Raw genomic sequence first — 27,083 nt, forward strand, 5'->3', positions numbered from 1 at the left:
TTTAATGTAATATTTTATAAACTGAATGAGCCATTTTCACACATGCACTTGCTCCTTTAAAATACATACTGTCCTGAGTTTTAACAAATGTTGTCTGGTAGTTATTCTGTAATAATATTCCAGGCCAATCTTGGAGAAGCAGATTTGGTTATCCCTAGTATGATTTCAAAGATGTGTAGTCTGTTTAAAAAACTGGTTGAAATTTGTGCCACATTGATTACATTTCCAAGTTTTCTCTCAAGTAGGGATAATTTGGTAAAGGCTGAAGACACACTACTGCTTCCAGGTCCTTTCATGTTCAGCATACTTACAGGATTTTTCTCCTTTATACGTTCAATCAAACTGCAAAGGCGTGGACATTGGTTTTGTCTCACTTTAAGTTCTGGGTACATGTGCACAATTTGCAAATTTGTTACATAGGAAAATGTGTGCCATGGTGGTTTGCTGCATCTACCAACCCATCACCTGGTATTAAGGCAAAAATGCATTAGCTATTTGTCCTGATGCTCCACTTCCCTGCCCTTCCCACCCCCATCAGCAGGCCCCAGTGTGTGTTGCTCCCCTCCCTGGGTATATGTGTTCTCATTGTTCAGCTTCCACTTTTAAGTGAGAACATGTGCTGTTTGATTTTCTGTTCCTGTGTTAGTTTCCTGAGGATAATGGCTTCCAGCTCCATCCACATCGCTGCAATGGACATGATCTCATTCCTTTCTATGGCTGCATAGTATCCCATGGTGTATATGTACCACATTTTCTTTATTCAGTCTATCACTGATAAGCATTTGGGTTGATTCCAGGTCTTTGAACATTTCATTTTTTAAAACCATTTATTTGGAAGGTTGTCTCTAGTATGAATACTCTTTCCATTTTGATGTTCGGGTAAAAACCTTAGCATGCACATTACATTTCTGTGGTTCCTCTCAAAGATGTATATTCTGATGCCTAGTGAGTTCCAATGCCTGGGGAAAGCCTCTGACACATACATTTATATGATTTCCTTTCAGTATAAACTCTCTTATGACAAGTAGTGATTGAACTCTAGTAAAGGTTTTGCCACCCTCATTTCATTTCATACATCTATGCCCTTTTAATTACCTAGATTTACAAGTTCTGGCTTTTGAGTAGAATTCTTGCCACACGTATTACACTTCTGTGATTTTTCTCCAGGATGTATACATCCTGGAATATATATACAAATTCTTACACCTAGTGAGTAGTGAATACTAGCTTAAAACTTAGGTATATTTACTGCATGTGTAAATGTATTAGGTCATAACTGCATTGCTACAAAAAAAAACCTGAGGCTGGCTAATGTATAAAGAAAAGAGTTTAATTGGCTCATATTTCTGAAGGCTTAAATGAAAACATGGTGCTGGCATCTGATCACCCTCTAGGGAAGCCTCAGGAAGGTTAAAATCATGGTGGAAGGCAAAGCGGGTGTCGGTATTTCACATGGTGAGAATGAGGGCAAGCGACAGGGAAGTGCTATGCACTTCTAAACAGCCAGACCTCAAGAGAAGTCACTATTGCCAGGACAGCACCAAGGGGATGACGCTACATCTTTCTCAGTTTGAGAAATCCACTTCCATGATTCAATCACCTCCCAATGGGCCCCACCTCCAATACTGGAGATTACAATTCCACAGGGATTTCAAGAGAAGGGGTAAATATACAAGGTATATCAGTAAGTAGGAATTATTCGGTGATTCCAGAAACTAGGACAACGTCTAAGGCCTTGTCACATTGAGTTTAGTTGTAAGGCTCTCTCCAGTATGTCTTATTCGATGTTTAGTGAGGCCTGAGCGACAAATAAAAGATTTCCCACACTCATTACATTTATAAGGTTTTTTGCCAGAATGAATTCTTTGGTGTTTGCTGAGGGAAAACAACCGCCCAAAGGCTTTGCCACATTCAATACATTTGTATCTTTTCTCTCCAGTGTGGATTCTCTGGTGACTTACAAGATGTGAACTATGCCTGAATACCTTGCCACATTCATCACATTTATATGGTTTCTTTCCTGCATGAATTATCTGATGTGCAGTGAGGTTTGAGCTCCGTTTAAAGGTTTTGCCACACTCATTACATTTGTAAGGTCTGTCTCCAGTATGAACAGTCTGATGAAGTCTAAGATGGACACGCTGACTAAAGGAATTCCCACACTGATTGCATTTGTAAGGTTTCTCTCCGGTATGAATTCTCTGATGTCTATTGAGTGTGGAGCCCTGATTAAAGGCTTTGCCACATTCATGACATTTGTATGGTTTCTCTCCAGTATGAACTCTTCGATGCCCTACAAGATGTGAATACTGACTGTAGACCTTGCCGCATTCATTGCATTTGTAAGGTTTCTCTCCACTATGAATTCTCCGATGCACTGTAAGACGTGAACATTGACTGAAGACCTTGCCACATTCTTTGCATTTGTAAGGCTTCTCTCCAGTATGAATTCTCCGATGCCTTGCAAAAGCTGAACGGTCACTGAAGACCTTGCCACATTCTTTGCATTTGTAAGGTTTCTCTCCAGTATGAATTCTCCGATGCACTGCAAGACGTGAATGTTGACTGAAGACCTTGCCACATTCATTGCATTTGTAAGGTTTCTCTCCAGTATGAATTCTCTGATGAGCTGCAAGTCGTGAATGTATGCTGAAAACTTTGCCACATTCATTGCATTTATAAGCTTTCTCGCCGGTATGAATTCTCCAATGCACTGCAAGATGTGAATGCTTACTGTACACCTTGCCACATTTATTGCATTTGTAAGTTTTCTGTCCAGTATGAATTCTCTGATGCACTGCAAGACTTGAACGTTTACTGAAGACCTTGCCACATTCATTGCATTTGCAAGGTTTCTCTACAGTGTGAATTCGTCGATGCACTGCAAGACTTGAACGTTTACTGAAGACCTTGCCACATTCATTGCATTTGTATTGTTTCTCTCCACTGTGGATTCTCCGGTGACATACAAGATTTGATCTATGTCTGAATGCCTTGCCACATACATCACATTTATATGGTTTCTTTCCTGCATGGATTACCTGATGTACAGTGAGGTTTGAGCTCCGTTTAAAGGTTTTGCCACACTCATTACATTTGAAGGGTCTCTCTCCAGTATGAACTGTCTGATGAAGTCTAAGATGGACACGCTGACTAAAGGATTTCCCACACAGATTACATTTGTAAGGTTTTTCACCGGTATGAATTCTCTGATGAACTGCAAGGTGGGAACTTTTACTAAAGGACTTGCCACATTCATTACATATGTAGGGTTTCTGTCCAGTGTGACTCCTTTGGTGTCTTACAAAATATGAATTTTTTCTGAAGATCTTGCCACATACATCACATTGATATGATTTCCCTCTTGTATGGACTACCTTGTGTACAGTTAGTAGTGAGGCCCGATGAAAGGCTTTGCCACACTCATTGCATTTGTAAGGTTTCTCTGTAGTATGTATCCTCTGATGATTAATAAGGCTGGAAGACGCTTTAAAGGCTTTGCCACATTCATTACATACATACGTTTTTTCCCTAATGTGTGGAGAAACTAAACAACCATTATTACCTGTCTTCTCCGTTTCATTACATTCATAAAGTCTCCCTTCAGTTTGAACTTTCTGCAGTTCAGCCAGACGTGACTCAAAGTTTGATGTAAGCTGGTTTTCAATATGATTGTTTTCTACATCCCCTTGACTATGTTGATCTCTTTTACCAGTAAGATTGTTTTCATGGGGCACTGGCACTTCTTTATCATTTGTTTCACCATCTTTCCATTGAAATTCAAGGTCATGTAGATGTTTCTGTATTTCCCTGAAGTATAAATTTTCAATATCATAGCTTTGATGTCTTTCCAGTGCCACTGTTTGGAACCTTTCTCCTGTATTACTGTTCTCTGTTGGTGGTAATTCCTTGATCACACATTTAGGAGAGATACCTGCAAAATATAATGAACATGAGTTTTTTTTTAAACTACTACTATTGATAAACAAACATTTTATATTGGAAACATACCTACACTAAACATAATCTTTATACTAGACAGGTGTGAGAGTTCTCCACCATGATCTTTTATTTTTAGAAATACAAAATGAATAGAAGTCTATAGTAAAGAAAGGGTGACTACATGTAATTCAAATTAAGTTTAGGAAAGCCTAGTTTCAAACATCCTATGACCAAAAGACTTATGTTGTGCAAACATATATTGGCACTAAAACAAGTATTTTGCAACCAATGACACCAAATTACGAACCGATTGGCAGAAAATGTGGCTCTCTCATAAGAGAATAAAAGTTATATATATTTACTTCATATTTACTGTGTACAAACAAATGCCAAACCACAGCAAGATATAGTGTAATGGTAAATATTCACAAGATAAACTAATTAATAATCATCATATAAATTAATAAATAAAACACTCTATTAACCCATGATAAAACCAGCAGGTAAGTAAAATACAATATACAATATACTTAGAATTCCATACTATAAATTTGTATATTGCATATACAAGTTTGCATCATATGCAAATACACAAATTTATAGTATGGAATTCTAAACAAATCTCCCTTTATAATAAGCAAGAACATATATTCTAGAGACAGCATATGATAACTAGAAAATATGTTGAGATCACTGACTTTTAAAGATAAAAGAAAGATAAATATGTCTATGGCCATACCACCTGGAACACAGCTGATCTCAGAAGCTAAACAGTGTCAGATCTGGTTACTACTTGGATGGGAGAAAGGTAAATACACAACATAATACAGAATAAAAAGTGGGGAAGGAAAAATACTGACTATGATTTCATGCCTACACCTATGTAACAATCAATAGAGCAACTCCCTATCTATTGTCATTTTTTCTTGAGACAGAGTCTCACTCTGTCACCTAGGCTGGAGTAAAGTGGCATAATCTTGCCTCACTGCAACCTCCACTCCTAAGACTCAAGCGATCCTCCCACCTCAGCCTCTCAAATGGCTGAGACCAAAGATGTTCACCACCACGCCCACCTAATTTTTTTGTAGTTTTGGTAGAGACAGAGTTTTCCTATGTTGCTCAGGCTGATCTCGAACTCCTGAGGTCAAGCAACCTGCCTGCTGCAGCCTCCCAAAGTGCCGGGATTATATACAGGCATGAGTCACCACACCTGGTCCTATTCATTGCCTCTAATTACCTAGTTAACTGGCCACAAAATATATATCATCAAGAGATTTCTACTTGAAAAGCATATGAACTAAGATAAAAGACAACAAACACTGTTTGGAAGAAACTACAAAATGAAAACTTACAGATACAATGAAGGCTGCTTTGATATAAAGACTTAATGTCTGCCAAAATTCCTATGTTGAGGACCCAATCCTCAATGTGATAGTATTTGGAGGTGTGGTCTTTGGGAGGCAATTCGGTCCTCTGCCATGTCAGGACACAGAAAGAGAAAGCCATGGTAAACCGGAAAAAGGGCCCATGCCATGCCAAGAACCAAAATGGCTGGTTCTGACATGTTAGACTTCTCACCACCCAGATCTGTGAAAAGGGAATTTCTGTTGTTTCAACCACCCAATCTACAATATCTACTATAGGTAGCCATGCTGACTAGGGTAAAGCCAATATGCTATCTCATTATAAACATAAAACAATGTTGATATGCTTTATTTAACAAAGAAATCTGTGAGTCTTTACTAAAAAACAATATTCTAGACTAGCTAACAGCACTAACTTGTTTAAAAAGTCTTGAGGTAAATTACCACTATTTAACACACAAGCAGTTAGTATGCCCACGGGATTCATGTATCTACATCCAATTTACAAAGAAAGTAAGATATGCACCTACGTTTGCAGGATCAAACATTATGTTTTTTTCAAAAACTGCCCAAGCAGGTACTGCAGGTAACAGGTCACCCCAAATACTAAGAGTGTATAAAGAAATACTTCAAGAGCCATGCTGTGTTGCCAAAAGCATTATTCAGCCATCCCCATGAATAACAGTATCTGAGTCATCATTCCCTGCACATAATGATTTAGACAGTGTTCTCAGAAAGTGATCAGGCCAAGGCAGGTGGATCACAAGGTCAGGAGTTCAAGACCAGCCCGGCCAAGATGATGAAACCCCACCTCTACTAAAAATACAAAAATTAGCTGGGTGTGGGGGCAGGTGTCTGTAATCCCAGCTACGTGGGAGGCTGAGGCAGGGAATTGCTTGAACCCGGGAGGTGGAGGTTACAGTGAGCCGAGATCACACCACTGCACTCCAGCCTGAGCGACAAAGCAAGACTCCATATGAAAAAAAAAAAGAAAAAAGAAAAAAAGGAAGTGATCAAGTGAATGAGTACGGTCATCCCTTACAGAGTGAGAGTAGTGTGGGAGATGAAGGAGTTATGCAATAATGGGAGTGTAAAACTTATATGCTAGTAAGTAGCCAGGTATTCCGTCTGGAACAAAGTACTATTTTAGGAAAGGCCAGGGAAGAGAAAAGGCAAGAGGAAAGGGCAAGGAGTAATGTGCATGGGGCAGCAGGGTTTGTGCTTGCAGAGCTGTAGGTATATAATTTCACCAGGAACAGTTAAAATCCTGACTTTGGACAAAAAAAGAAACTAATTTAGAAGTAGCATTATACTGGCCAATATTTAAATACGTGAATTATACTATGGGCACAGGACAAGGGAAAACAGTTAAAAAGGAGGCAGTGTGAGGATATGGGAAGAAAGCAGACTTATGTCTTTATAATATATGCTATGAATTTTATCAAATTGAATGTCCCATGAGTTATATTTCCAGGCATATGCTCAACAACCCTACATATCAAGAGATATGCGAAAAAATGTTCCTACAATATAATCCTGAAGAAAAAATTTGATAACAGCCATGAAGAGGAGATGGATGAATTTATTTTGTACACACACAAAAAGACAACATAAAACCTTATTGATAGTACAACAATGTTAAGGAGACTTGGGATGCAGAAGAAGACACGCTGGCAAAATGGGCAAATATTAATCTGAAAAAACTAAGAAAGCAGGAAATTGTTGTCAAGGTTTAAATACACGTTCATGGAGACACAGTATATATGGAAGTAATCTGGGATATCAAAAACATAACATGGGAGCAGACCTGTAAAGGAGTCATTTTTCTATGTGACTGAAGTCAAACTGTTACCAGTTTAAAACAGGATGTTATAAATCTAAAGTGTTTTCTGTAATTGCAATGGTAACCACAAAGAATGTATAGAAGACACACACAATGGAAATAAAAGTATGTCAAGACAAAAGAATCAACTAAATAAACACAAAGGCAGTAACGGATATGAAGAACAAAAAAATCTAAGAGATATAGGAAACATTCAGCAAAACAGCAAGAGTGAGTCCTTCTCTATCAGTAATTACATTAAGTGTAAGTGGCTTAAACTCCACAATCAGAAGATAGAGACTGGCTGAATGAATTTTAAAAACAGGCTCCAACTACATACTATCCACAAAAGATTCATTTTTATTTGAAGGACACACGCAGGCTGAATTGAAAGGGTGAAAAAAGATATCCCTTATAAATGGTAATAGAAAGACATCGGAGGTGGCTAAACTGGTATCAGTCAAAACAGACTTTATGTCAAAACTGGTACAAGAGACAAAGAAGAGCATTATCTAATAATTAAAGGGTTAATTCACTAGAAGATATACCAATTATAGTTATATATGCACCTAATATTAGAGATCCTTAATATATGAAGCAAGAGAAACATAACTAAAGGGAGAAAAGTTCCACAGTAATAATAAAAGACTTCAACGGACCACTTTTATAAATAGGACAGACAGAAAAAAAGTAAGTAAATAGGCAACCTAAACTATACGTTAAATTGGACCTAACCTACATATGCACAACGCATCTCCCAAAAACAGCACGAAAGAATTTTTTCAGAACTTCACACAGAACATTCTTCAAAAGAAATATTTAAAAGTAAAACTTTTTAACACTTCTTTTTTGTTGAGGCTGAGTCTCGCTCTGTTACCCAAGCTGGAAGGCAGTGGCGTGATCTTGGTTCACTGCAACCTCCGCCTCCCAGGTTCAAGCGATTCTCCTGACTCAGCCTCCCGAGTAGCTGGGACTACAGGCGCACGCCACCACGCCCAGCTAATTTTTGTATTTTTAGTAGCGACGCGGTTTCGCCATGTTGGCCAGGCTGGTCTCAAACTCCTGACCTCGTTTAACACATTTTAAAGACTGAAATCATAAAGTGTAACTTATCCCTTCATAATAAAATAAAACTAGAGATCAACAGCAGAAAAAAAATTAGAATATCAAAAAATATGTGGAAACAACATATTCCTAAACAGCCAATATGTCAAATTGGAAATCTCAAGGGAAATGATAAAATATCTCAAAACAAAGGAAAATGAAAATAGAACATGCCAAAACTTATGTATGCACAGAAAACAGTGCTAAGATAGAAAACTGTTAGATATAAATGCTTCTGTTAAAATAGAAGATCTCCAATAGAACAGAATAGGGAACCCAGAAATACAGCCACAGATCTCCAATGGAATGGAATAGGAAACCCAGAAACACAGCCACATACCTACAACCAACTGATCTTTGACAAAGTCAACAAAAACAATTGAGATAAGACATTCTATTCAATAAAGGGTGCTGGAAAAACTGGCTAGCCATATATAGAAGAATGAAACTGGACCCCTATCTCTCATCATATACAAAAATTAATTCAAGATGGATATAGACTTAAATGTAAGACCTCAGGCTACAAAAATCCTAGAAGAAAACTTAGGAAAAACACTTCTGGATAAAATATAATTTTTTAAAAAAAATTTATTCCTCATTCCCTAAGCATGACGGGAAAAAATATATAGGTTTTATAAACATCAGTTGAGAAGTCCTTGAAGTGCAAGAAATGGGCTACATGTATAATAAAGTAAGATTTGAAAATAATAATTCAGTATAACATGATGGACTTGAAAGCAGACAGGAGAATAATTATTATAATATAGCACTTGTTCCAAAAAAAAAAAAAAGTGTGATTTAAAGAAAATCCAGCAAGTTATATTTAGGAAACTGAAACTTACTACAGAAAAGCAATGTGTCTGATATAACAAGTATGACCAGGCCGGGCGCAGTGGCTCACGTCTGTAATCCCAGCACTTTGGGAGGCCGAGACTGGCAGATCACCTGAGGTCGGGAGTTCAAGATCAGCCTGACCAATATGGAGAAACCCCATCTCTACTAAAAATACAAAATTAGCCAGGTGTGGTGGCACATGCCTGTAATCCCAGCTACTCAGGAGGCTGAGGCAGGAGAATCGCTTGAACCTGGGAGACGGAGGTTGCAGTGAGGTGAGATCGCGCCATTATTCTCCAGCCTGGGCAACAAGAATGAAAATCCGTCTCAAAAAACAGAACAAAACAAACAAACAAAAACAAAGTATGACCAATCTCTTTCATGGTATTTCTACAATGAAGATAGTAACTATATTAAAAAAATATATTCAAGGTATTAAAAAATTTCCAATGAGAAGAACTGTAATCAATTCCATTAACAATTTTTTTTTTTTTTTTGAGATGGAGTCTCGCTCTGTCACCAGGCTGGAGTGCAGTGGCGCAATCTCTGCTCACTGCAAGCTCCGCCTCCCGGGTTCATGCCATTCTCCTGCCTCTGCCTCCTGAGTAGCTGGGACTACAGGCGCCCACCGCCACACCCTGCTAATTTTTTGTATTTTTAGTAGAGACGGGTTTTCACCGTGTTAGCCAGGATGGTCTCGATCTCCTGACCTCGTGATCCACCCGCCTCGGCCTCCCAAAGTGCTGGGATTATAGGCGTGAGCCACCGTGCCCGGTCTCATTAACAAATTTAATAGTAGGAATTAAGTCAGGAGAAATGGGAGTAAAAGAAATAACTGAAACTGTCTTATTACAACACTATTGAGTTTGTGTAAGTTTTAGAGAAACTGCTCCTGAGCTATACCATCTGTACTAAAGAAAGAAATCTTGTAAAATATATAAAATGATATACATTCCCCAATACAACACTACCTCAAAAAGAAACATAAAACAAAGAAAACTGAGTATCCTCAAAAATATGGAACTGATTATTAAATAAATAAAAACAAAGTTCATTTACAATACATGAAAATGCACCAGATTAAAGTAGCGGTCACTTAAAACAAATTATGTGGACTTAAAAAATATAAGCTTTGGCCGGGCGTGGTGGCTCACACCTGTAATCCCAGCACTTTGGGAGGCTGAGGCGGGTGGATCACAGGGTCAGGGATAGGCCAAGCGTACTGGCTCAAGCCTATAATATCAGCACTCTGGGGTGCCAAGACCAGAGAATTCCTTGAGCCCATGAGTTCAAGAGCAGCCTGAGTGACATAGTAAAACCCTGTCTCTACACGGGCATGGTGGCACGCACGCATAATTCCAGCTACTTGGGAGGCTGAGGGTGGAGGATTGCTTGAGCCCAGGAGACAGAGATTGCAGTGAGCTGTGATCACACCACTGCACTCCAGCCTGGGCAACAGAGCAAGAACCTGTTTTAAACAAACAAAAAAGCACATGGACAGAAAACAGGGAATTGGATATTTTAACTCTGCCATAAAGTTCTCTGCGAACTTCAGCTCTGGAACCACCACTGATGTACAAAGAAGGCAGCAGAATATATATACAAAGGTGACAGTGAAAGGCCAGATGCAGCATTGTGAAGCTTTTTATTTTTGAACCAATAAGGCTTCAGTCTCAAATAACGGAGGGGTTCCCAAGAAAGACAACAGAGGAAATACAAAAATGCACAAGGGCGAATCTGAACTTCTAGAAGGAAATTATACTCACCTAGGAAGACCAGGTTCCTATAGTTCTCCAACATCACATCCTTGTACAAAGCTTTCTGCACAGGCTCCAGGCATTTCCACTCCTCCTGAGAGAATTCTATGGCTACATCCTTGAATGTCAAATGCCCCTGAAATGAAAAACACATTTCAAAAAGAAGCAATATGAGAGCTCTTCTGTTTACACAAAATGAGGAGAGAACTATCACATCACTTTGAAGTGTGTGTTTTGACATATCTATATGGCATCTGTGAGAAAGTTATTGGTCCCTAATTTTAGTTTGTTATAAAATACAATAGGAGACTATTATATTCTCTACATCAGTGTATAGTTCTATTTTTGTGGACAATACAAGAAATACACAAATAAGAAAAACACATGGTTATCCCTTAAAAAGTGTTAGATATTATGCTCCATACATCAACTGTGTCTAGGTGAGCTAGTATATGAGTGGTGTTTTCAGAGATGACAATGTCTACAGCGGCTTTAAAGGTCAGAAACTAAAAACTGTGATGACCAGAGCAACAGCAATGACTGAAGTTTTGGAACACTCCCCACGTGCTGGGCATTATTCCAAATGCTTTACATGTTCTAATTCAAATAACAACATGATAGCCTATGAGAGAGAGACTTGTTCCATGTTACTGTGTCACAGACACGCTAACAAACTTGCCTAGGTCAACAACCTGAAAATGGCAGAGCAAGCATCTGAACCCAGATGTCTGAGAATTAGAGTTGAATCAAAACAATCAAACAGTTACATTATGGTTACAGAATATCCTAGTCTGTCTGTGCTGCTATAACCAAATAAGACAGACTGGGTAATTTATGAACAATAAAAATATATTTCTCATAATTCTGCAGGCTGGGAAATCCAAGATCAAGGTGCCAGAAGGACTGATGTCTGCTGAGGGATGATCCCTGCTTCCAAGATGGTGTCTTGTTGCATTTTCTGGAGGGGAGGAATGCTGTGTCCCCACGTGGCAGAAGGAACAGAAGGGCCAAAAAGCAGTGAACTCCGTAGGATAAGCGTTTTGATATCTCACTGACCAGAACACCATATCCCATTGATAAGGGCAGACCCCTCAGGATCCAATCACCTACTAAAACCCAAACCTCATAATACTTGGAGATTGGGCATTGGAGATTAAGTTTCAAATGAATTGTGGAGGAGAGAAAAACACTCAGACCACAGCATTCCATCTTGCCCCACCAAAATTCATGTACTCCTCACATATAAAATGCATTCCATCCCAATGGCCCCCCAAAGTCTTAACTTTTTCTACTACCAATTCAAAAGTCTATAGTCTACAGCTGCATCTAACTATAATCTAAATCAGATATGGGTGAGACTCAAAAATGTGTTTCATCCTGAGGCAAACTGCTCTCCAGCTGTGAACGTGTGAAATCAAACGACTTAAGTGCTTCCAACATCCAACGGTGGCGTAGACACAGGCTAAATATTTCAACTCCAAAATGCAGAAACAGGAAAGAAGAGGTAGCCACTCCCATGTTAAGTCTGAAACTCAAATAGGGCACACATATTAAATCTTAAGGCTTGACAATAATCTTCTTTGACTCTATGTCCCACCTTCTAGACATCCTGGAGTAGGAGTTAGGTCCCCAGTGTCCTGGGGATCCCTGCCCCATTAGTTTTGTTGGGATCACCCACATGGAACTTCTCACAGGCTGTGGTTTCCCGAGCTGGGATCACATACTGGTGACTCTACAGTTCTGGGGTCTCAGGCGTGGTCCTGCTTCCAGGGCTCCCCTTGACCTTGCCCTAATAAGCACTCTCTAAGGTGTCCCTGCCTCCATGGCTAGGCTGAGAATTGCCTTAGTGGTGACCTCCTGTGGTAGCACTGAAAGGAACAGGATGAAAGGTTAGGGGCCACTGAGCAAAAAGATAACTGACGTAAACCGGTGTCTGCAATAACACAGAAAGACATGAGGGTGAAGATCTAGTACCACAGATATCTGCAGTACCAGAGTCTATCCACAATAGTACAGAAAATAGGGGAGCTTCTGAGTAGAAAGCAGCAAACCTCTTCAATAGGGAGATGACAAGCAAAGGCCCAGAGAAAAAGCATGGGAAGTCTCCAGAATCTAGGGTAGTTGATTGGAATGTCCTCCCTGAACAAAGCAGCCACCAAATCTGGGCAGGCAGCTGATTTTTTCAAATGCTGAAGTCACAAAAGAAGACAATAAAACATACAAAGAAACAGGGAAATACGGTCTACAAAAAGAAACCAACTGAATCTGTACAAACCTACATGAAAGAAATGGCAATTTACATCTTGGCTTTGAAGAATTAAAAAGAAATGTGGGCCGGGCATGATTGCTCACAACTGTAATCCCAGGACTTTCAGAACGCCAGGCAGGAAGATCACTTCAGAGCAGGAATTCGAGACCAGCCTGGCCAACATTATGAAACCCCATCTCTACTAAAAATACAAAAATTAGCCAGGCATGGTGGCACATGCCTGTAATCTGAGGCTGAGGCATGAGAATTGCTTGAACAGGAGGCAGAGGTTGCAGTGAGCTGAGATCCCACCCCTGCACTCCAGCCTCGGCAATAGAGTGTGACTCTGTCTCCAAAAATAAAGAAAATGCGAAGGTAGGCAGATCACCTGAGGTCAGGAGTTTAAGACCAGCCTGGCCAACACGGTGAAACCCCGTCTCTACTAAAAATACAAAAATTAGCCAGGTGTGGTGGCACGTGCCTGTAGTCCCAGCTACTCAGGGAGACTGAGGCAGGACAATTGCCCGAACCCAGGAGGCAGAGGTTGCAGTGAGTCGAGATCATGCCACTGCACTCCAGCCTGGGCGACAGAGCGAGACTCCATCTCAAAAAATAAATAATAAATAATTAAATAAAATAAAGAAAATGAAGAGAGTCTAATGGGCCCATGAAAAACCATCAAGCACCAAGAACATATGCATTCTGGGAGTCCAACAAATAATGTGAATATATCTAACATTACTGAACTTTACATAAGCAAACAAGCTTTAATGAAAGACATAATAAAGATATTATCAAAGACTGACAAACTCGATTCTTTTTGGAAGACATGGTGACATAAAGGCCTGCAACTGAAAAAATTCAGAGCCATGAAAACACAAACAAAATATGTGGGAATTTTTTTTTTTTTTAGAAGACAGAGTCTCACTGTCACCCAGGCAGGAGTGCAGTGGCACGATCTCAGCTCACTGCAACCTCCACCTCCCAAGTTCAAGGGATTCTCCTGCCTCGGCCTCCCAGGTAGCTAAGATTAAAGACGTGCACCATCATGTCCGGCTAATATTTGTATTTTCAGTAGAGACAGGGTTTCACCATGTTGGCCAGGCTGGTCTTGAACTCCTGACCTCAGGTGATCCACCCACCTTGGCCTCCCAAAGTGCCTGGATTACAGGTGTGAGCCACCACACCCGGCCAATATGTGGAATTTAAATAATATGTGGCTGTGTTGTGTAAAAGGAGAACCATAATAATTTTGGAAAGAAAATGGAGGGGTTTGCCAATCTACTTGTGAACCTATTATGTTATTTATAATCTAAAACTTTATAATCAAATATAATCTACAACAAGATATACAGAAAAATTCAAATTAAAGATTCAAGCAAATAAAATGTAAGCAACAAAATATTAGATCTTAAAAAAACACAGTATTTTATAATCACACAGCGAGCCAGGCCTTCCAAAGAAAGATCAGTTATTTATTTTTGCTTTTGTGGTATAGCGTCCTAACAGAAGCAACCACTCTTTAAACTGTCCAACCTGAAGGAACCCTCAAACACCTGTGGTGAAGAGAGCATTGTGGCAGCCATGGTGAAAAATTATAAAAGATCCATATGTCTTCATTTAGAGATTGTTCCAAAGAGGATGCAAAACAAGCTATTACTGCTTATTAACAAAAAAAGATGTATCTTTGAAAAACTGGCACAATGAAATTTCACAACAGAACATGTACTGAAGAATTGTTTTCTAAAATCTCATAATGACACGTAAATGCATCTTGACACCTCTCACTGACTCTTGCCACAGAACTTACAACTGTAGCTCCCCACGGAAACATGAGGGATGATGGAGAAAGTGACAGGGAAAAGAAACCCGGGTTCCTCCAGGTTGGGTAACTGAAAGAGTGATTGCCTCTTTAGGATGGTGCATTTCCTATTTTCCTGGATCTGGCAAGATTTCCCACTACCCTAAGGTGCAATGGTGTCCTCATACACCAACGACACATATTGGGTGGATTTCCCACCCAATAAAAAAAAAAAAAAAAAACTTACTACTATGTTCTGTTTACATTTTGAGGCTATGGGGAAAATGAAAACCCTTCGTATTTCCATTTTCCAATTCCTTGGACTGTGAGGAGGTTTCATTATTTTGTGGAAATCAAACCAAAATAATTTTCATTCTTTGCTCAGTTTTCCTTTACTGCATTCTAGGAGCCATTTCATATTCTGTAGTTAAATTTTTAAAATATATATGCCTTGATGTCCTTTTCTTAGGTTATAAATTTCTTTCTGTGTAAAACTAAAGCTGGGCACGGTGGCTCATGCCTGTAATCCCAGCATTTTGGGAGGCCAAAGCGGGTGGATCACCTGAGGCCGGAAGTTTGAGACCAGCCTGACCAACATAGAGAAACTCTGTCTCTACTAAAAATACAAAATTAGCCAGGCACGGTGGTGCATGCCTGTGGTCCCAGCTACTCAAGAGGCTTAGGCAGAAGAATCGCTTGAACCTGGGAGGCGGAGGCTGCAGTGAGCCAAGATTGCGCCATTGCACTCCAGCCTGGGCAACAAGACGAAACTCCGTCTCAAAAAAAAAAAAAAAAGCTAAAATGTTTCCTTGATGCCCATTTTTGTTTGCTGATAAATTACATTGTGTATATTTAAGGTATACAACATGGTATTATGGTATGGATAGTAAAAAAAAAAGTCATTAGAGTTTAACAAATTAACACACCCATCATCTCACAGTTACTTTTTTTTTTTTTCCCTCTGTTTTGGCCAGAACAGCTAAAATCTCATTTAGCATGAATTTCATATATAATAAAACATTATTTACAGGCTGGGTGTGGTGGTTCACACTGTAATCCCAGCACTTTGGGAGGCTGAGGCAGGCGGATCATCTGAGATCAGGAGTTCGAGACCAGCCTGGCCAACATGATGAAACCCCCCACCATCTCCACTAAAAATACAAAAATGAGCCAGGCGTGGTGGTGCACGCCTGTAATCCCAGCTATTGGGAGGCTGAGGCAAGAGAAAATCGGTTGAACCCGGGAGACAGAGGTTGCAGTGAGTCGAGATCACGCCATTGTAGTCCGGCCTGGGTGACAAGAGCGAGACTCCGTACAAAACAAAAAGCAAAAAACAAAACAAAATTATTTCCTATCATCCTCGTGTTGTATTAACTTCTTAATGCCTAAACTGCATCTCTGCTTGAAATTTTACCAAAAAAACAAATATATACATCATGTGATGTTTAAAATAAATATAATATTTAATAATAATTGGTGCAGTGAGAGAATTTGGCTCCATCTTCTCTGATAACAAATGTTCAGCTCTTACATCTGAGCAAAATTATAACCTTAAAACTTAAAACAACTGCTGGTAAGAGTCCCCGCAGGAACACCGCAGTCTCTGTGAGATGGATATTCTGACCATGGCTAGAATCTGACATTCAGGTTGATTTCATATTTTTAAATCAATGATGGAATAAAACACGCTCTAATGTCTGTATCTAGTTTTCCATTCAATTCCCTGTCATTAAGGCAGTTAGAAATAGTGACTCATTCATACAGCTTCAAATGTAGTATAAAATCAGGCAGAAAGATCTCCCCTTACACGCCTCCTTTTCCATATTTTTTTTTTTTTTGAGGATGAAGTCTTGCTCTGTCACCCAGGCTGGGGTGCAGTGGCACCATCTTGGCTCACTGCAACCTCCACCTCCGGGTTCAAGCTATTCTCCCGCCTCAGCCTCCTGAGTAGCTGGGATTACAGGCCCCTGCCACCATGACTGGCTAATTTTTGTATTTTCAGTAAAGACGAGGTTTCACCATGTTGGCTCAAACTCCTGAGCTCAAGTGATCCGCCCACCTCAGCCTCCTAAAGTGCTGAGATTACAGGCATGAGACACGGCGCCTGGCCCCTTTCGATAATTTACTAGGTATTTATGCACATTAATATGTGACTTCCACATGCAGCTTCTCTATTCCTGGTCTACAGAAAGCTGACAGTGCATCCAGATGTGGCCCCTAAACAATCCCTGCTGCCCAACAGCTCTGATACCACGGGACCCTCACCCCATCTCCATCCATGTCTGGGTGTGAGCCCTTCCCAGGACCATGCCCAGTGCAGCCTCTTCCCAAGTTCATGTCACTGGATCATGGTGAGATGGAATCTAAATAAGATGAGAGGAACTGAGGAAAAGCATGGATGAGCATGAGCAAATGTGTCAGGAAGGACACTTCAGACTCAGAGAAGATTTGCAACTCCGACGCCCTGTACTTCACAAAGGAAGGAGACAGAATGACCCACCAAGAATATCACTTCACTTGAGTAAAGTATCACTCTACCTGAGTAGCCATCACTGACTCCTTTTCCTTCCTCTTCTTCCTCTTCTGGGTTTCTTTCTCAGTCAATGTAATTATTCACACATCAAACCTGAAAGTTAAAAAATCTGTTGTTTAATGCTTGGAAACAACACATTCCTTTCTGTGTCACAACCATGCACACAGGGAAGAACTCAGCCTGTGGAGAGACAGCCCACTGCACCAGGGGGGATGCAAGAATAATAAATTCCTACACAAAGACCAAGTGAATCTTTCACCGTTTTCTTCAGCATTAGCTCCCCTCTGGGAGAAGCCCACACACAGGCTGCAGCAGTGTGTAGCTAGGCTGGACTGAGCTCCCATTCAGGGCACGGACCTATCCCTGATCAAACCCCATGCAGCGCACAGCCCCCCGTCACCTCTGTGGGTCACAGGCTGAGCTCTGCCCTCGGAAATGGGGGACACAGAGGCTGGAAGCTCAATGCTGGATACAAATGAGAATCAACTTGGGGCTGGGAGCGGTGGCTCATGCCTGTAATCCCAGCACTTTGGGAGGTCGAGGCGGGTGGATACCTGAGGTCAGGAATTCGAGACCAGCCTGGCCAACATGGTGAAACACCCTCTCTACCAAAAACACAAAAATTAGCCAGGCATGGTGGCACACCCCTTAAATCCCAGTTACTTGGGAGGCTGAGGCAGGAGAATCACTTGAACCTGGGAGGCGGAGGTTGCAGTGAGCCAAGATCAAGCCACTGCACTCCAGCCTGGGCGACAGAGACTCTGTCACCAAAAAAAAAAAAAAAAAAAAAAAAAATCAACTTGGGTACCTAAAACATTACGGAGGCTGGGCCCCACCCTAACTACTGGAAGGAGAATCTCTATAAGGGGGAATGAACCATGTGTTACAAATGCCTTGGCACTCTAGTGTGAAGCGAGGGTTGAGTAGTCTCAAAGGGGGCAAGACTACCACAGCCCCAGTCTCCCAGCTCTGACCTCCCCTTGGGGCCTTGCTGTCACCAGTCTGTAGAAAGTGGAAGGCAAAGGGCCAGAAAGAAACACACAGAGCAGAAAATATGGACCTGCCTTTATTGGCTTTTATTTGCAATCCTAGAATCAGACAACACCTCATTCTTAAAATGAAAGGAGTGTTCTGTGAGCTAAGGGGAGGAGGTTGGCTTCATAAGCTGAAAGGGGCTGAATGGAGCAAAATCAGGAAACTAAAAGCATGTTGGTTGTTTCAAAGTTACTTTTCTTTGGGTTGCCATTTTCCCCAGATCCTCAAAATGTAAAAACAACATAGTAGTAAGTTTTGTTTAAATGAGTGGGAAGTCTCATGTGATGCTGGTGGGAGAGGGCACCTTTGCAGCTCGGGATGGGGGAAATCTTGCCAGATTACCTGCAACTGAGGGGCCAGAGAGTTCTAGGCACAGGGACAGCCCAGGTAGACACCCTCGGCTCCAGGAATAGGAAAGAGGCCTGTGTGGCTGGAGCAGAGGGAGTGAGGAGGACACAGGTAGGAAATGAGGTCAGAGAGGTCCCGAGGCAGCAGATCAGGTAGGGACGAGGTCTTCAAACATTTTTCTCCCACAGCTCACAGCACTTTTAGAAACTATGCATTTCCCTACCATTTTAGGTAAATGTAACTTTTCTTTATCATTTGAATTAAAACCCTTCTATATAATGTCATATCTTCTCTATTTCAAATATATCCTGACATGTAAAGCTAGAGCCAGGAAGTATAGGGCCACCGTCATCTGAGATGTGCAGGAGCGCAGGGGAATGTACTTAGGGAGTTTAGGAAGTCACTTTAGACACATAAAGGTGGAGACGTCTCTTAGACGGCTGAACAGACAACAGAGGAGACAACAGGACACAGAATTCTAGAGTTCAGGGGACAGGCCTGCAGGGGACATGGAGACGTGTAGGTGAGTAGGTGGGTGATATGGATCAGCTCTGTGTCCCTGGCCCAAATCTCACACTGAATTGTAATCCCCACCGTTACTGGTGGGGCCTGGTGGGAGGTGGATGGATCATGGGGGTGGATTTGTGATGAATGGTTTCGCACCACCCCTTGGTGCTGTTCTTTATCACAGTGAGTTCTCACGACATCTGGTTGTTTAGAAGTGTGTAGCGCCTCCCCCCTCACTCTCTCTTGCTCCTGCTCCCGCCACGTGAGACGCCTGTTCCTACTTCGCCTGCTACCATGTTTGGAATCTTCCTACAGGCTCCCCAGAAGCAGATGTTGCCATGCTTCCTGTGCAGCCTGCAGAACTGTGAGCCAATTAAACCTGTTTTCTTTATAAATTACTCGGTCTCTGGAATTTTGTTGTAGCAATTCCAGAATGGACTAATACAGTGGGGTTTAAAGCCATGAGATGAGATGATGAGGAAAGACAGTAGGTGTGGACAGAGATAAGAAGAGGTTCAAGGACTAAGCCATGAGTCTTTCCCACATTGAGAAACATTCGAAGTCCGGACACAGCAGCAGAGGAAAATGGTCAGGGAGGTGACAAGAAAATTAAACAGAAAGCTCCTGACAGGAAAAGAAAGACTAAAGCAGGAAAAGAAATACATTGGATTTAGAAATGGGGAGGTCACTGGTGACTCTGAAAAATAAAGTTATCAGTGGAATGGTGGATATGCAAGTTTGACTGGATGCATTCAAGAGGGAATGGGAGGCAAGAAGTGAAGACGGAGAGTATAAATAAGATTTCAGCACAGAAGAGGGGTACTCATACGGGCAGAAATGTAGTTAGTAGTATGTTTTGTTTCAATTAGGGCAGAGTGGAAGGAAACGATAAGCTTTAGGGTCTGTGTGTGTGCATGCATTTAATGGGCAATACCACCATCAGTAAACAATGTTTAAAATAATTCCCTAGAGGTAAAAATAGACGTTGCAGTTGTTACACTTTATAATAGGCCAATTTTTTTTCTCTTTTTAACTTATATTTTAAGTTCAGGGGTACACGTGCAGGAGGTGCAGCCTGGTTCACAGGTAAACGGGTCATGGGGGTTTGTTGTATACATTATTTCATCACCTGGGTTTTTGTGTGTGTGTGTGAGACAGAGTCTCGCTCTGTCGCCTAGGCTGGAGTGCAATGGCACGATCTCGGCTCACTGCAACCTCCGCCTCCCGGGTTCAAGCAATTCTCCTGCCTCAGCCTCCTGCTGGGACTACAGGCATGTGCCACCACACCTGGCTCATTTTGTATTTTTAGAAGAGCCGGGGTTTCACTGTATTGGTCAGGCTGGTTGCGAACTCCAGACCTCAGGTGATCCGCCCGCCTCGGCCTCTCAAAGTGCTAGGATTACAGGTGTGAGCCACCACGTCTGGCCCCATCACCCGGGTATTAAGCCTAATGTCTATTAGTTATTTTTCCTGATCCTCTCCCTCCTCCCACCCTCCACCCTGAGGTAGGCCCCAGTGTGTGTTGTTGCCCTCTACGTATCCATGTTTTCTCATCATTTACCTCCCACTTATGAGTGAGAATACGCAGTATTTGGTTTTCTGTCCCTGTGTTAGTTTGCCAAGGATAATCGCCTCCAGCTCCACCCATGTCCTGGCCAAGCGCATTATTTTGTTCATTTTTATGGAAAGGCCGTTGTTTTGTACGAGCCTCCCGCACTACCAGACCAAGCCAGAATGAAGTCTCTCATGCTAAACGCCACATTAGCAAACTGACCCTTGAAATAAGTCACGTTTAGGAAAAAAGAAAATTCCAAAAAAGAAAACAAGAACAGGAGTTAAAAAATGAATTTGTAATAATTTCCCTCCTTATCACGACATCGTAACAAGGTTTGAGGGAAGCACATCTCACATGAGTGTGAAAACCCAATCATCACATTTATTAACTACAAAAGGATCGAATTTGTTGTGATTTTGTCCTTCAACAATAAGAAACTGGTAAATGTGTTTCTCTAAGTTCGGTGAGCCATCCTAGCAAATTAATCAAACCTTTGGCTGGGGTAGTAGGAATGCCAATTTGGAGTCAGTAGGTCAGAAGTATAGGTGACAACCTACTACTTTCGAAATGGTAGCTGAAGTGAGCCGGGGAGGTCTTGTGAGACTGAGCCCTTTACCTGTGGGCAACCTGTGGGAGATGACTCTAACTCCAGGTAGACAGTGCCAGAATTAAATTGAATTCTAAGGCAATCTAGCTGTTGTCTGCTGGAGAATTTTTTAGTGTGTAGGAGAAAACTCCCCAACACTGGCCACAGAAGAGTTCTGTGTTAAGTGTGAGAGTAGAAAGGAAAAAATTTGTTTTTTCCTTTACACCCTGCAATTACTAGGCCTGTCATTCTCCAAAGAGCATTACCCATCCTCTCCCCAAACTGCCTCCCCAGCACCTAGTGGACCCTCTTGCCTGGAGAAAATATCCCTGTTCCACACTGAGTTTAAAGCATTTTGCCTCGTAGCTCCCTGTGATTGTTGCAGCAGACAGAGGTGGGGGGAAAGTAATCACCACTGTCCTGGCAGCGAGAAAGTAACAGCTGTATCTTCCGAGGACAGTCCCAGTTGAAATCTTTGTGCTGCAGGTCGTTGTGATATCATATTCTCTGATTCTTTGAAAAATCTTCCCTAAGCCACCATCCTGCCATAGACCCACCACAGAAAACCCTCCCTAACGAAAGCCTTTTGTCACTAGAGTTTGAGGCCCTAACGTTCCCCTCCTAAACTGAGACAGGTTTACAAACTTCCTTGGGGTCCACACCCTTCCCAGATACTCCATAGTGCTCCCCATATCGTGCTACGAAATCCCACATGCCCCAACAACTCATAAACTCCTGCTGACCTAATACACACAAAGATACCTGAGGACTCAATGACCCAAGACACTCGATTCCATTCATAATGACCCCACCCTTGAACACTGGCACCACCATCTACTAAAACAGATGTCTCCAATGATGCACATACCCCAGTGAGACCCAACATCTTCCAAGGAAACTCTCCATATTGACATTTAGATAGTCCAAAATGCATCTATAACCATCTTAACTTGCCGCCCAAAATACTCCAAAATAACAAATGTAGCCCCCAAAGTGATGGACCCCACAGAAGTCACTATGGAGAGTGCCTGCTGTGCTGCAGCTCTGGGTTCCATGCCCTCAGGACCAATGCACCACCACTCCAGCTGCCCACTCTCCCCGTGGGCTCAGCTTAGGACTTGCTCCTCAATTCAGCTGACCCTTGAACAATACAGCTTTGGATTGTGTGGCTCCTTTCAATAAAATTTTCCTCAATAAACATCCTGAAGAATATTTTGGAGATTTGCAGTATTTTGTTGGCTGTACAACAAGAAGGCCTGGACAATGAGAAGTTGTTCCTTAAGTCAGGAAGGGAATGCCTTTTAAAGTTCTTTGATGTTGGGCCGGGCACAGTGGCTCATGCCTGTAATCCTAGCATGTTGAGAGGCCGAGGCAGGCAGATCTCTTGAGGCCAGGAGTTCAAGATCAGCCTGGCCAACACAGTGAAACCCCATCTCTACTAAAAACACAAAAAATTAGCTGGGCATGGTGGGACATGCCTGTAATCTCAGCTACTTGTGAGGCTGAGGCATGAGACTCGCTAGAACCCAGGAGGCAGATGTTGTAGTGAGCCGAGATGGCGCCCCTGCACTCCAGTCTAGGCAGCAGAGTAAGACTTTGTCTCAAAAAAAAAAAAAGCGGGGGGGGGACAGGGGGCAAAGGACCTGAACATTTTGCAAATAAGACATACAAATGCCAGGCACGGTGGCTCACGCTTGTAATCCTAGCACTTTGGGAAGCCGAGGCGGGCAGATCACCTGTGGTCAGGAGTTCAAGACCAGCCTGACCAACATGGTGAAACCCCCGTCTCTACTAAAATACAAAAATTAGCCAGGCATAGTGGCAGGTGCCTGTAATCTCAGGTGCTTCGGAGGATGAGGTCGCAGTGAGCTGAGATCACGCCATTGCACTCCAGCCTGGGCAACAAGAGTGAGACTCTGTCTCAAAAAAAAACATACAAATGACCAACAGGTATATGAAAAGGTACTCAAGATCGCTAATCATCAGGGATATACAAATCAAAACCACCATAAGCTGTCACCTCATACCTCTTAGGAAGGCTATTATCAAATAGGCAAGAGAGGTGTTAGCAATGATATGGAGAAAAATGAGCCCTTGTACACTGCTGCTGGGAGTGCACATCAGTACAGCCATTATGAAAAACACTATGGATGTTCTTCAAAATATTCAAAATAGAACAACAATGCAATCCAGCAATCTCATTTCTGGGTATAAATCCAAAGGCAATCCAATCAGTATGTTTAAGAGACATCTAGGCCAGGTGTGGTAGTTCATGCCTATAATCCCAGCACTCTGAGAAGCTGAGATGGGAAGATCGCTTGAGACCAGGAGTTAGAGACCAGCTTGGACAAAACAGCGGGACCATGTCTCTACTTAAAAAAACAAAAAACAAAAAACTTAGGAACTTCTGCCCCCTCATGATCACTGCAGTATTATTCACAACGGCCAAGATATAGAAACAACCAAAGTGCCCATCCAGGAATGAATATGTAAAGAAAATGTGTGTGTATATATATTTATGTATGTGTATATATATATATATATATATACAGAGTGTGTGTGTGTATATTTATATAATGGAATATTATTCAACCATAAAAAAGAAAATCCTGCCGGGCACAGTGGCTCACGCCTGTAATCCCAGCACTTTGGGAGGCCGAGGCGGGTGGATCATGAGGTCAGGAGATTGAGACCATCCTGGCTAACACAGTGAAACCCCGTCTGTACTAAAAAAAAAATACAAAAAATTAGCCGGGCGTGGTGGCGGGTGCCTATAGTCCCAGCTACTCAAGAGGCTGAGGCAGGAGAATGGTGTGAACCCGGGAGGCGGAGCTTGCAGTGAGCCGAGATCACACCACTGCACTCTAGCCTGGGCGACAGAGCGAGCGAGACTCTGTCTCAAAAATAAAAAATAAAAATAAAAATAAATAAAATCCTGCTATTTCCAACAACATGGATGAATCTGGAGGACATTATGCTGGGCGATATAAGACTGACACACAAAGACAACTACTGTATGTTCTCACAAGTAGAATCTAAAAAAGTCCAATTCATAGTAATAAGGCGGAACAGTTGTTACCACAGGATGCTGGGTGGGGAAAGTGGAGAAATGTTGGTCAAAGGGTACAAATTCTCAGTTATAAAATGAAGAAGTTCTGAGGAATCTAATGTACTTCGTGGTGAGTTTACCGCACTGGACGCTTTAACAGTTTGGAAAGTTTTTGAAAAATCTAATAAATTATGGGGTAAAAGTTAAAAAAAGGCAATATTGAGAAATTAATGACATCAGCTGATTACAGGATGACATCAAATCTTATTTCAGAAGTTAGTAATTATAGAAGAAACTGAATAAACTAAAATTTAAATCAAGCTTCCAAAATAACAATGAATTAACTGTAAAGCAACTACAAGGAAAAAAGTAAATCCATTAACAAAACAAAAAACCAACACTCTCAACTCTCCTTCAAAGACATACATTGTAGGCCTGTAGAGGTGGTTCACACATGTAATCCCAGCACCTTCAGGGGCTGAGGAGGATGGAGTGCAGCTGAGAGGCTGCAGTGAGCCGATATAATTTTACCGCACTCCAGCCTGGGCGACAGAGACCCTGTCTCAAAAAGAGAAAAAACAAACAAAAAACCAAAGATACATCTTGTAGTGACAGTCAGTCATTTCTTGCCTATTTCTCTCCTCCTCCATCCTCTACTCCCTCCCTGGAAAGAAGAGTTACAAAATGACTGAATCAAGTCACTGCCCTGTGGCTAAATAGGGATTCCAAATATCTTTTGATATAAACAAATACAAAATGCACAAGCCTTGTAGAAAAGAGTGGTAATTTTCATCCTCATGAGTACAATTTAAAGAAACAAATTTTAAATTAGAGTATAAAGTCACAAATCAATACATTAAAACCACCATCCATATCCAATCAACTCACAGCTCATCTGGGTGGGGTCCTCGCCCACTCTCTTCACTACTATGTGTTTCCCGCTCTCATTCTGCACGTCTTTTTTCCCTTTGCTGTTTTTCTCCCCTTTCTTTATTCCCTCTTTTATGTCTATTCTGCCCAATGCTTCGAAATTTATTTCACCTCTTGTTGCTCTTTCTCCCCAAACTTTCCCATTGTCCCCAGCCGCCACGTATTCCTGCCTCTTTTCCCCCATCTGAGCTCCCTGTCTGCTCTCCCTGTTAAAATCCCTCTTCCCTGTTAAATTCCCTTTTCCCTGTTACATCTCCTTTGTTCCCACTCTCTAGCACCCCCAACTTCCTAGGCTTCCTCCTTGCTGTGGTTCTCCCTCTACTCTCCTTTGTTACCCACTCCCCTCTCCTTCAGTCCCAGCACCACGTGGCTCTGTCAGCCGCGGCTCCGACTCTTACCTTTTCCGCCCCCCGCGTCTGACTGCAGTGCCTCCTCCTTTGCCGCCCCTCTCTATTTTGCTGCCCTTCAGCTCCCTGAAGCTCTCCCTTTTCCCTAATTTCTTTATGTGCTTTTCTCCCCGTGCTACTTTCTCCATGCGTCCTCTTGCACTCTTGCTCTCTTTGCCAGTACCTAAATTATCATCCATTTTGCCGTGTACTCATTCTTTTCTCCCCAGTTTTTCTTTCTGTCCCGTCGCTCCCCCTCTTTTCCTCTCCTGATCCCTCTCACCCACACATTCAGGAGGAAAGGGGAGGAATACGATGCCCACCTCCCGGAAGAGCACATTTTCCAGTGGAGTAAAAATTTGGGAAGGAACGACAGTGGGTGTCACAAGACAGACTCGGGTGACCTCCTGCAACGCGGAGTCAGGAAAAGCAGTGGCTGTGAAGGGGCAGCCTGGGGAGGGGAAGGACCCGGCGTGAGGAGGACACTAGGTGGCGCGCGGAGGACACTAGGTGGCGCGGGGGACGGTGTCTCAGGACAGGGAGGGTCTGCAGAATCCCAGGACCTGGGAGAAGAAGCGGCTCCTTCAGGAGCTGGGCAGCGGGCGCTCCCCTCCAGGCGTCGACAAGGGCGAAGCTCGGGGGTCTCGACTGGTGGGAATCCACCTCGCGAGGGAGGACTTGACTTCGCCCGGGGCCGAAGCAGGGGTCAATGAGAGTTTTAAGCAGGAACACGACCTGAATGGGGTTATCGACATGGTTATCTACATGGCAGAAAGGCAGGGGGCAAGGAACAGCCTGAGAGAGATTTTAAACCGACAGGGAAGCAATTCTCGGACTTACGTGGGGAGAAGTGCCTGTTGCAGGGGCGAAGGGGCTATGGGTATTTTAAGGTCCGTAGCGATCCCCAGATCACTGGTACGGAGAAGTGAGGACTGCAAAGTGCACGTTTAATCCAGGCAGACGGAGCGAAGTAATGTTTAATCCACGTAGACTGAAACACACACACAGCGATAAGGCCTTTCCCTGGCGCAATCTGCTTCCGGGAGTGACGGAAACTGCTAGCGGAGAGAAAAAACTGGGAGGCCAGGGGGCGGGGCCTGGGCGAGCCGCGACCAGCAAGGGGCGGGTCGGAAAGAGGGGCCTGACTCGGGGAGGGACCCTGAGAGGGTGGAGCCGGGCCGGAGCGGCAGTGGGCGTGGCTAGGTGGGGCGGGACGGAGCCGCGGCGGAGGATGGGGCGGGGTTTCATGGGGTAAGCGGGGCCGAAATAGAGCCTGTTATTT

General features: G+C 42.5%; 1 protein-coding gene and 1 pseudogene across 3 annotated transcripts, besides 2 other annotated features; both read right to left on the bottom strand.

The window, feature by feature from the left end:
• Positions 1-26,848, bottom strand: ZNF616 (zinc finger protein 616). 3 transcript variants are annotated; one of them, NR_135823.1, is made up of 5 exons: positions 26,642-26,848; positions 17,411-17,498; positions 10,833-10,959; positions 9,270-9,367; positions 1-3,934 (listed from the first exon to the last, which is right to left on the bottom strand). NR_135823.1 is itself a non-coding variant. In XM_047439613.1 (5 exons), the coding sequence occupies exons 3-5, from the start codon at positions 17,420-17,422 to the stop codon at positions 1,728-1,730; spliced, it is 2,346 nt and encodes a 781-aa protein (XP_047295569.1). In that variant the 5' UTR covers positions 17,423-17,498; positions 26,365-26,536; positions 26,642-26,848; the 3' UTR covers positions 1-1,727. The 3 variants fall into 3 exon arrangements, 2 of the variants coding, with proteins under 2 accessions (XP_047295569.1, NP_848618.2); XM_047439613.1 differs by lacking the exon at positions 9,270-9,367 and adding an exon at positions 26,365-26,536; NM_178523.5 differs by lacking the exon at positions 9,270-9,367.
• On the bottom strand, positions 21,163-21,250 carry LOC124904799 (uncharacterized; annotated as a pseudogene).
• Positions 26,444-26,683: an enhancer, noted in NCBI's record as "active region_15036". NCBI's record gives its function as "activates an Ori minimal core promoter by ATAC-STARR-seq in GM12878 lymphoblastoid cells {active_cell/tissue: GM12878}" and the evidence as "EXISTENCE:reporter gene assay evidence [ECO:0000049][PMID:35858748]".
• Positions 26,804-27,083: a silencer, noted in NCBI's record as "silent region_10991". NCBI's record gives its function as "represses an Ori minimal core promoter by ATAC-STARR-seq in GM12878 lymphoblastoid cells {active_cell/tissue: GM12878}" and the evidence as "EXISTENCE:reporter gene assay evidence [ECO:0000049][PMID:35858748]".

This window comes from Homo sapiens, chromosome 19 (genome assembly GCF_000001405.40).
Source record: "Homo sapiens chromosome 19, GRCh38.p14 Primary Assembly".
Lineage (NCBI taxonomy): Eukaryota > Metazoa > Chordata > Mammalia > Primates > Hominidae > Homo > Homo sapiens.